At 43.1% G+C, this 11,256-nt stretch overlaps 1 non-coding gene across 1 annotated transcript; it reads right to left on the minus strand.

Annotated features, from left to right (window-relative positions):
• Positions 1-10,619: 10,619 nt before the first annotated feature.
• On the minus strand, positions 10,620-10,691 carry TRA-CGC2-1 (tRNA-Ala (anticodon CGC) 2-1). Its single transcript has one exon. It is a non-coding gene; the product is annotated as a tRNA-Ala (tRNA).
• Between the last annotated feature and the right edge of the window lie 565 nt (positions 10,692-11,256).

Here is an 11,256-nt window from a genome sequence, read left to right on the forward strand (position 1 = left end):
TCGCTGGAAAAAAGAAGGGCCTGATCCAGATCCCAAGAAAGGGTTCTTGGATCTCACCCAGGAACGACTTCAAGATGAGTCTTGGAGCTACTCCATTACCAAGTAGGGTGTCAGAAAGCAGGAGGAGGAACGTACTATCCTTTGTTAGTTTCTTTACTTATAAGAAACTCTGAGGGGCCGGGCGTGGTGCCTCACGCCTGTAATCCTAACGCTTTGGGAGGCCGAGGCGGGCAGATCACCTGAGGTCAGGAGTTCAAGACCAGCCTGACCAATATGGCAAAACCCCATCTCTACTAAAAATACAAAAATTAGCCAGGTGTGGTGGTCTGCGCCTGTATCCCAGCTACTCAGGAGGCTGAGACAGGAGAATTGCTTCAACTTGGGAGGCGGAGGTTGCAGTGAGCAGAGATCATGCCACTGCACTCCAGCCTGGGCGACAAAGTGAGACTCCTTCTCAAAAAAAAAAAAAGCAGACAAAAAACTATGAGGAGCTATAATTAAACTTGTAATATGTAGATGTGCTTACTAAAGGTAGGGGCTATTGTTTCTATCAATGACCATTAATCCTTCAACTCATTAAGCCTGCTCATTAACGTTATCTTTCAGTAAAGTGGGCTGTACTTTTAGGACATCTCGACATTCTGCAGGCTTGGTGGGAGGTGTTCTGTATGACCCATAAATATTCTGCAATTACAATTGGTGGTCAGATTAGAATGTGACTATTTTCAGACCATGAGTATTAACCTTATATGTAACTTTTAAGTGCCTCGCTATTTCATTCTGGTCATGTTTTATTAAACCAGAGGCCTAGTAAGCAGGGGTTCCTCTAACAGAAAGATTCGAGAAGTCTGGGTCCTTGATGACGTTGTTAAGGTGCTTCATCAACCCTTCCTTCTGACCTCTTGTTATGTGGGACCAATAAACCATTCTCATTTAAACGACTGATGGTCAGGTTTTCCGTTAATGGAAGCAAAACATATGCTAGCTGAAGCAGAATTTGAGGTAGGAAATGATACAATGTAATATATATATTTACATTTATTATTATTATTAATTTCGAGACAGAGTCTCTCTGTCACCCAGGCTGGAGTTCAGATCTCAGCTCACTGCAACCTCCGCCTCCCAGGTTCAAGTGATTCTCCTGCCTCAGCCTCCCGAGTAGGCCCGCGCCACCATGCCTGGCTAATTTTTTTTTTTTTTTTTTTTTTTTTGAGACTGAGTTTCGTTCTTGTTGCCCAGCCTGGAGTGCAATGGCGGAATCTCAGCTCACTGCAGCCTCCTCCTCCCAGGTTCAAGCAATTCTCCTGCATCAGCCTCCCGAGTAGCTGGGATTACAGGTGTCCACGACCACGTCCAGGAAATTTTTTATATCTTTAGTAGAGACGGGGTTTCACCATGTTGGCCAGGCTCAAACTCCTGACCTCAGGTGATCCACCCGCCTTGGCCTCCCAAAGTGCTGGGATTACAGGCGTGAGCCACCACACCCAGTCTAATTTTTGTATTTTTAGTAGAGACTGGGTCTCACTATATTGGCCAGCTGGTCTCAAACTCCTGGGTCTCAAGTGATGTGCCCCCTCGGCCTCCCAAAGTGCTGGGATTTCAGGCATGAGCCACCGTGCCCGGCGGTAAGATATATTTTTCAAAGATAATTCTGGCAACCATGTGGAGCATGAATTTTAGGAAGAATGGAAATGCCAGGGGACTGGTTAGGAGGCTACTGTGGTAATCTTGGCAAGAGAGTGTGACGTCTTCCAGAATGTAAGCTCACTGAGTGGAGGGAATTTGTCTATCTTTGTTCACGATTGTATCTACAGTTTCTAGAAGAGTACTGGCAACTAGGTAGTGCTTAGTCAACATTTATTGAGTGAATGTTTTTGGCTTAGGCAGTTTAAAGTGGAAGAGAGGTGTGGGTGGATTCCAGACACACTTTTGACACAAAATAGATATGGTGTTCTGTTGGACAGCAGAGAAAAGATAACAGCCAGCTGTGAAATGGCCTCAATCTAAAGAACACCTGCTGACAAAATGCACTCCCTGTGGCTAATGGAGACCGCTCAAAATTTAACAGGGTCCAGAGGCCATGGCCCAGGTGAGGGAACAGTCATGTACTCTGGGTTCTCAGAAAACATGACCCATGACAAACATCTGCTTTGCAACCCTAGACCAGAGTAGTTCTTGTAACCAGGGCCAAGATAAACTCTAGCAAGAAATCAGGAGATCGAGACCATCCTGGCTAACAAGGTGAAACCCCGTCTCTACTAAAAATACAAAAAAATTAGCCGGGCGCGGTGGCGGGCGCCTGTAGTCCCAGCTACTTGGGAGGCTGAGGCAGGAGAATGGCGTGAACCTGGGAAGCGGAGCTTGCAGTGAGCCGAGATTGCGCCACTGCACTCCAGCCTGGGAGACAGAGCGAGACTCCCTTTCAAAAAAATAAAATAAAATAAAAAGAAATCCCCAGTCGACCACCTAGAAACATCCAATCAACAAGACTTGTAGTTTTGGGCTTAAAAGTCACCCAACCGGGGCTCAACTGCCTTGTCCAATCAGGGCTCAGCTGTATCAACCAATTGGAACTAAGCAAGTTTGAATCCCTCATTTGCTTAAATGAACCTGATTGAGAATAAACACTGGGAAGATTGAATTTTCCCAGCGTATACATTGTTTCTCAGAAAATAAAAGCTGTCCCTTTGGCCTCCACAGATCTCATGCCTGCTTGACATCTCCGCATGGATATCTAATCAGCATCTCTAACTCAACATGTTCAAAACTAAAACCTTGTTTTTCCTTTACCTCCAAATTTCTTCCCTTCACTCTTTCTTATCTTGGTAAATAAGCACTCCTCTCAACTTAGTTGCTAAACTCTTAACCTGTATTAACTGAAGACTATGAGATCTGCAGAGGCCTCATATGGACAAGGCGCATCATTCGTTTTTTGTTTTTTTCTTGTTGTTTTTGTTTTTTGAGACGGAGTCTCGCTCTGTCGCCCAGACTGGAGTGGAGAAATCTCGGCTCACTGCAACCTCCGCCTCCCGGATTCAAGCGATTCTCCTGCCTCAGCCTCCCGAGTAGCCGGGATTACAGGCTTGTGCCACCACGCCCTGCTAATTTTTTGTATTTTTAGTGGAGACGGGGTTTCACCGTGTTAGCCAGGATGGTCTCGATCTCCTGACCCAGTGATCCGCCCGCCTCGGCCTCCCAAAGTGCTGGGATTACAGGTGTGAGCCACCGCTCCAGGCCTGCATCATTAGTTTTAACCAGGATTGAGGTCCTTACCGGAAAAGGCCATCACAAGGACAGAAGGGAAATTGACTTATGAATATGTACAATAAGTTAGAAGAATTTCTGGAGATGCAAACTAGATTAAATGAGTGGGAAAGTAGTGTATGGTTTTGAGAGATAGTAGAGGGTAGCGTTGAGCGTCTTTGGTGGTTAATTAGATATGTGTGGGAGGAAGGCAGCAAGGTGCCTGTGGAATAATACAGTGGCGACATGCTGTAGGCTATATGGACTTAACATTTAATGAGGGTGGTAGAGACTAAAGATATATATTTAAGAAATAGCAGCATACAGAGGATATGTAGAGCAAGTGTAATATATAAGAATGCTTAGGAAGAATGTGTAGAGCATGAAGAAAGTATGCCTACATTTGAACTCTAAAAAACACTCACATTTAACAACAACAACAGAAATTTTACAAATAACTTACGTGAAATCAATGCAATATATTGTAATGGAAAGACAAGGCTGTTTCAAAGCAAGAATCATTTGTGTCAAATGATAAAATGAGTTTAGTAAAGTGAAGGCTAATAAGTTCATTAGATTTAGAGACATGGGAATCATTGGTGACTCTTGTAAGAGTCATTTCACTGCAATTCTAAGAATCAAGTTTATATTCAGGAGATTGAGAAATGAGAGTAAGATGAGGAATGGAGACACAGAGTAAAAATATCCATTTCAAGAAATGTGGCTGGAATTGGAAGGAAAGAGAAATTGTGCTGGCTGCAGAAGAACGTGGAGCTAGGGGAGATTTTTAATATGAAGAGACTTGAACCATTTTAAATAGTAATAAAAAGAAACCAGCAGAGGACAGGGTGAAGACAGAGACAACAGGAATAATTAACAGCACAAATTCCCTGTGAATGCAGGACAAGATGGCCTGAGGACCTTTGAAGAACTAGCTGTGGACACTTTAAGCTCTCCCCAATAAAAGTATAGCATAGAGACCAGCAGCATCAGCATCAGTTGAGAGCTAGTTATAAATGTAGAATCTCGGCCGGATGCGGTGGCTCACACCTGTAATCCCAGCACTTTGGGAGGCTGAGACGGGTGGATCACGAGGTCAGGAATTCAAGACCAGTGTGGCCAAATGCTGAAACCCTGTTTCTACTAAAAATACAAAAATTAGTTGGGCATGGTGGCACGCGCCTGTAATCCCACCTACTGGAGAGGGTGCGGCAGGAGAATCGCTTGAATCTGGGGAGCAGAGGTTGCAGTGAGCCAAGATCGTGCCACTGCACTCCAGCCTGGGTGACAGAGCAAGACTCTGTCTCAAAATAAACAAATAAATAAAAATAATAAATGTAGAATCTCAGGGGTTACCCCAGACATATGGAATTTTCGTCTTAAAAAAATTCACAGGTGATGCTATATAAACATTAAAGCTTGTGTAGCACTGATACAAGGGATATTTATTCCATTTTAGCAGACAGAAATGAAAAAAAAGGATGCATACAAATATAGGTACATTTATAAGTTAATGAAGGAAGTTAAGATGGTTTTCATTTGATGGCATTTTTAAATTTGAAGTAGGAGGCAAAGTCATCAGCTGAAGGTACAGAAAGTAGGATTAGATATCTTGAGGAAGTCAAGCCTTCTTGAAGTAGCTACTATGAATCCTATTAGGGAAATGCAAGTGAGTGGGATAGCATTGAAGGGAACAAGTAAGTCACCCCTCTTCTCTGTACTTAAGTTTCCTGGCCTCTAAAGTGAAGGGTTGGACTGAACTTCCCAAAAGTCCTGTCTGGACCCAAGGTAACAAAGGCCGTAATTATTTCACTAATCTTGCTCTTTCTCTCCTCTTTGAAGATGATACCAAGTTGAATCCTTATGCAGGAGGAGATGGTGAGTACAGAACTGCCCCTTGAGCCCACCCCTAGAAGAGTGTGCAGCAGCCACCTGGCCTCTTTGCTTTTATTTCAAGTAGGTGGGGTACGAGTAACAGCAGCATGAGCATTCCAGGCCTTGTGGTGGGTGGGAAGGCAGGGGAGGTTGTGGGTACAGGCATCCTGGACTGGAAGGCCTACTCCTTATTTAGAGTGGCACTAATCTTCACCGTGGTGTGATATTCTCTAGGAGCACCAAACAGTCTGTGTGGAGTGAATAAGATCCATATGGAATAATCTACAATTGGAACTCTGAGGGAGGATGTTCACTATGAAACAAAGGAGTGTGAGGACACTGCTGAAATGTGGCTGAAGGGAAAGAACAAGGAATCTAAGCTGGAAATGGAAGAAAGAAAAGGTAGGAACAGAAAGATCCATGGAGAGAAAAAAATGTTAAGGAAATAGAAGTTGCATTTCAGTAGATAAACAGAAGTTGAGGAAGTAACTGGATGAGGTTGCCAGAAAAGAAAGCAGATTAGGGACACTATGGTAGGCAGACTAATGCCCTGCCACCCTCCACAAAGATGACCATATCCTAATTCCTAAACTTGTGAACATGATACCTTACATGACAAAGGGGACGTTGCAGTTTGATTAATTTAAGGGCCTTGAGATGGAGCATTTATTCTGGATTATTTGGATAAGCACAATGTAATCACAATGGTCCTTATGAGTGAAAGAGGGAGGCATGAAGGTCAGAGTCAGAGATTTGAAGATGTTACACTGCTGTCTTTGAAGATGGAGGAAGGAGCCACAATCCAAGCAATCCAGGCAAACGCTAAAGCTAGAAAAGACAAAGGAACTGATTATTCCCTAGAGTCTCCACAAGAAACATAGCCCTGTTGACACCCTTATATTAGCCCAGTGAAACCCATTTCAGACTTTTGAACTCCAGAAATGTAAGACAGTAAATTTGTGTTGTTTTAAGTCATTATATTTGTGGCAGTTTTAAGTCATTATATTTGTGGCAGTTACAGGGAAATAATGCAGATAGTAATAATATTAATAATAATAGCAGCTAACATTTGTTGAGCATGTATATTGTTCTAAGATATTGTCACAAGTCCTCCTATGAGTTTTAACTAAATTTATTCTTTTTCTGTTTTTGTTTTTGTTTGTTTGTTTGTTTTGAGATGAAGTCTCGCTCTTCTCCCCCAGGCTGGAGTTCAATGGCGCGATCTCAGCTCATTGCAACCTCCGCCTCCTGGGTTCAAGTGATTCTTCTGCCTGGGCCTCCCTGAGTAGCTGGGATTACAGGTGCCTGCCACCACGACTGGCTAATTTTGTATTTTTAGTAGAGACAGGGTTTCACCATGTTGGCCAGGCTGGTCTAGAACTTCTGACTTCAGGTGATCCACCAGCCTTGGCCTCCCAAAGTGCTGGGATTACAGGTGTTAGCCACTGCACCCGGCCTTTTTTTTTTTTTTTTTTTTTTTTGAGGTGGAGTTTCGCTCTTGTTGCCTAGGCTGGAGTGCAATGGTGCGATCTCGGCTCAATGCAACCTCTGCCTCCCAGGTTCAAGCGATTCTCCTGCCTCAGCCTCCCAAGTAGCTGGGATTACAGGCATGCACCACCATGCCTGGCTAATTTTGTATTTTTAGTAGAGATGGGGTTTCTCCATGTTGGTCAGGCTGGTCTTGAACTCCTGACCTCAGGTGATCCACCCGCCTCGGCCTCCCAAAGTGCTGGGATTACAGGTGTGAGCCACCACACCCAGCCAATTGATTCTTATATATTTAATTTTCATTGAGTTCTTACCATAGTCAGTTATTAATAAGTAGAAACTATTAAATGTATTATTTTATTTAAAATTCACAAAGTCCTGCGAGTTGGCATCATTTTCTCCCCATTTTACAGATGATAAAACCTAAGTTTAAATAAATTAAATGATCTGCCTTATGTCTCACAGTAGCGGAAAAGCTGAGATTTAAACATGAGTATTCTAATTCCAGAGTCTGTGTTCTTATAAACTACTCTATACTGGATTATATTATTTTGGAGTCATTATTTTGGCATAATACTGATGGATTTATTCTTTTGGCATAATACTGATACATGACAAAGTCCAGAGCATGGCCATTTGTGCTAGTGACTAAATAGAGTGGAAATAAAGATTCCTGGGAAAAGAGAGATCAAATGAATGAGAAGCTGGGGTGCTGGATGATCTGTCCACATGGCCCCTGAAGTCACCAAGGGTGAGTGGAAGAAAAGAGGCACCAGGTCTTCATTAAATTAGGAAGAGTTTTCTTGCTGAGAAATGTGAGATTGTGTTTTTTTGTTTTTTGGGGTTTTTTGGATGGAGTTCGCTTTTGTTCCCCAGGCTGGAGTGCAATGGTGCGATCTTGGCTCACCCCAACCTCCGCCTCCCGGATTCAAGCCATTCTCCTGCCTCAGCCTCCAGAGTAGCTGGGATTACAGGCATGCACCGCCATGCCCAGCTAATTTTGTATTTTCAGTAGAGATAGGATTTCTCCATGTTGGTGAGGCTGGTCTTGAACTCCCGACCTCAGGGTGATCCGCCCACCTCGTCCTCCCAAAGTGCTGGGATTAAAAGTGTGAGCCAGCGCACCTGGCCCAGATTGTGTTTCATAAAGCAAAGCCTCCAAGGAACAGGGTTTTGCTTAGGGGAGAGTGGTTGTTCTAATTTTTTTTTTAGAAATGAGGTCTACCTATATTGCCCAGGCTAGTCTTAAACTCCTGACTCCAAGCAATCCTCCTGCCTTGGCCTCCCAAAGTGTTGGGATTACAGGCATGAACCACTGCACGTGGCCAGAATAGGATTTTTTTGTTTTTGTTTTTGCTTTTGTTTTGAGACAGAGTCTCACTCTGTTGCCTAGGCTGGAGTGCAGTGGTGTAATCACAGCTCATTGCAGTCTTGACCTCCTCAGGCTCAGGCCATCTTCCCTTTTGGGCCTTCCAAGTAGCTGGGATTATAGGCGCATGCCACCACATCTGGCTAATTTTTGTATGTTTTTTATAGGGACAGGGTTTCGCCATGTTGTTGCCCAGGCAAGTCTGAAACTCCTGGGCTCAAGTGATCTGCCTGCCTCGGCCTTTCAAAGTGCTAGGCATGAGCCACTGTGCCCAACCCAGAATAGGGTTTTTAAAATGCAGATAGAAGCCTGGGCACGGTGGCTCACGCCTGTAATCCCAGCACTTTGGGAGGTCGAGGCAGACGGATCACAAAGTCAGGAGGTTGAGACCAGCCTTGCCAATATGGTGAAACCCCATTCTGTACTAAAAATACAAAAAAATTAGCTGGGCATGGTGGCAGGCACCTGCAGTCCCAGCTACTTGGGAGGCTGAGGCAGGAGAATTGCTTGAACCTGGGAGGTGGAGGTTGCAGTGAGCCAGAGGTTGCACTCTAGCCTGGCAACAGAGTGAGACTCAGTCTCAAAAAATAATAAAATAAAATGAAATGCAATGATTTGGAAATTGGAATGTGGCCTCAGAAGGTACTAACCTATTTCCTGATCCTGAGATTGGAGAATGTGTAGTTTCTAATTTAAATAGCAATGCATTAGGGAGATCTAGGTTTAAGTTAATGCAGGAACATTTGGATAAGTAGTTAAGGATTGTGGTTGTTAACATGGAAATGTGAGATACAAAGAGTGGAGTTGAAATATGCAGAGAGACAAATTGCAAGTCTACATTATTGAAACAGAAGAACACAGGGGTATGGAGATGAAGGTATAGGTGGAGAATTAGAGGGACATATATCCAGAGTGGTAACTGGGATAGCAGGAATATGAGACAGTAAGTTTAGCAAATCAAATGTTTTCCAAGTAAATTAAACATTCCCCACAGTCCAAAAGATCCCATTGGAAGTAGAAAACTGAGTGGGAAATGAGGTTAATTGAGAAATTAAGAGATTGAGACAGATAGCTTCATCCTTGAGGTAGATCTTGCTGGATATCAATCTCTTGGGAAAAGTCTACAGTTCAGGCCCCTGGGAAAGTTCCAGCATTTGGCTACTCTTACTCTGTTTCCTAAGGAATGGTCATAGGACAGGTCTTCATGTTCTGACATTTACTTCTCAGTGAAAGTCCCCACCAAAATTCTTCTGGACTCTTCCAGTAATATCTGAACTAGTCTTATTTTCATCTTATTTCACCACCATTCCCAATCCATTTTCCACATTATTTATGGAATTAACTTTGTAAAATTCAAGTCTGATTGTAATCCTCCACCTCCCAGGTTCAAGTGATTCTCCTGCCTCAGCCTCCCAACTAGCTGGGACTACAGGTGCCTGCCACCATGCCTGGCTAATTTTTTTGTAATGTTTTCTTATTATTGTGATCCTTGCTTTTATAATGTTTCATTATTTCCTCTTATAATGTTTCGTTGTAATATTTCACTATTATTGTGATCCTCTCTTTTTTATCATGTTTAATTATTTCCTCTTAACAATGGCAGAGAAATACTCATTGGCATTTTTGGTGTATCTTTAAATGTGAACTGAAGCAACAGAACAAATTCATTATCAATATTCCAAAGCACTCAAATGAATCAAAGCATGAACATAAGTGCAATGCAGAAATAACATAAACCTAAAAATTCATTTACTTACAGTTGCCCAGAATGCAACCTCAGTTGGGTTCTCAGTGCTGTCAGGAAATCTGTTATGATTTTCTTTTTTGCCCAGGATGGAGTGCCGTGGCGCCATCTTGGCTCACTTCAACCTCTGCCTACCGGGTTCAAGTGATTCTTCTTCCCCAGCCTCCCGAGTAGCTGGGATTACAGACGTGAGCCACCGCGTTCCACCTGTTGTGAGTTTCTAACCAACTCTGCCTTCCATTTCTACAGGCTATTTCTAACCTTTACTACTTTCCCAAATGTCCCAAATGTTCTATGACCAGCTTTCCCACACAAAAACCTTGAAAACGTGCAGTGAGAAAATGGTTACCAGGTTAGTAACTGTAGGACAAGATCTACATTATCTTAAGGTGATAGAGTGGACCTTAAGTTGAAAGCAACTCCCACCTGAATACTAAAACTAAAAAAAGCATGCTACTTTCCTCTTTTCCATCCTATTCCACTTTCCCCACCCCGCAAAAAAAAAACTATGATACGGAGACATTTTATTTTTACTGATAGTTTTTCACTGGAGACTGGGAATGGATTAGGGCCTCATTTAGTAGATCTTAAAACATTCTTGGATATTCAGCTCTATTCCCTCTTCCTGGATGCATTCATAGGAACAGTACATTTCTGAATTGTCCCTCTGACTTTGTATTACTCACCACATAATAAAACACCTTGGAAGTTTCCAGGAAACAGGAATATGGAGTGTGGCTAGTCAACCAAATAGAAGAGAAACAAACATAAAGACAGGAAATTGATCGATTTAAAGGAAATGATAATGGCAAAAATGAGAAAGGACTAAAATAGTTTTTTCTTTGTTTTTCTTATATTCTGTTCCAGAGGCTGAATTAAACAAAATCTACGTGATCGCCTTGGAGATGCCGGGGATCGAACCCGGGGCCTCATACATGCGAAGCATGCGCTCTACCACTGAGCTACATCCCCTGGCACAAGTCGGTTGTAACGGAGAATTCCTGTCATGTTAAAAACGCGAAGCATTTTATATTACCTCGTGCTCGACCAGGGAGTGACCAACTCTGAGGATGAATTCCACCTAAAGCCTAACCCAGATTACACCTGAGTAACCTCCTTCCGGGACACACTAACAACATCCAGCTTGTGTCGTTACTGAGAGCAAAGCACACTTTTATAGCTTTAGCACAATTAGTCCTCTTGGCGCAATTGAATCCCAGGCGGAAAGAATTAAGGGATTGTTCAAGATCTTTTGACAGATTTTCTGCTAGCCGAAGGCTCATGGAAAATGCAACCCAAATTCCCTGCATCTGAGTACGTTGAATGATGAAATGTACCTTGGGAGCTGTCGCTCCTCTCGCTCTCGACCCCGCTCGAAGAAGGAACTGTCCAAATAGATGAAAACGTGAAAATCCTGCCTGACCTTTCTCCCCACATGCAATGGCTCGGGCCACACATACCATCTAGCTCACCTGACACCGAAGCTTTATCTGGGAACTCTGGCTTCACCAAGAATTCTAGTTTAAGAAGGTGCGTT

Source organism: Homo sapiens, chromosome 6 (genome assembly GCF_000001405.40).
Source record: "Homo sapiens chromosome 6, GRCh38.p14 Primary Assembly".
NCBI classification, from domain to species: domain Eukaryota; kingdom Metazoa; phylum Chordata; class Mammalia; order Primates; family Hominidae; genus Homo; species Homo sapiens.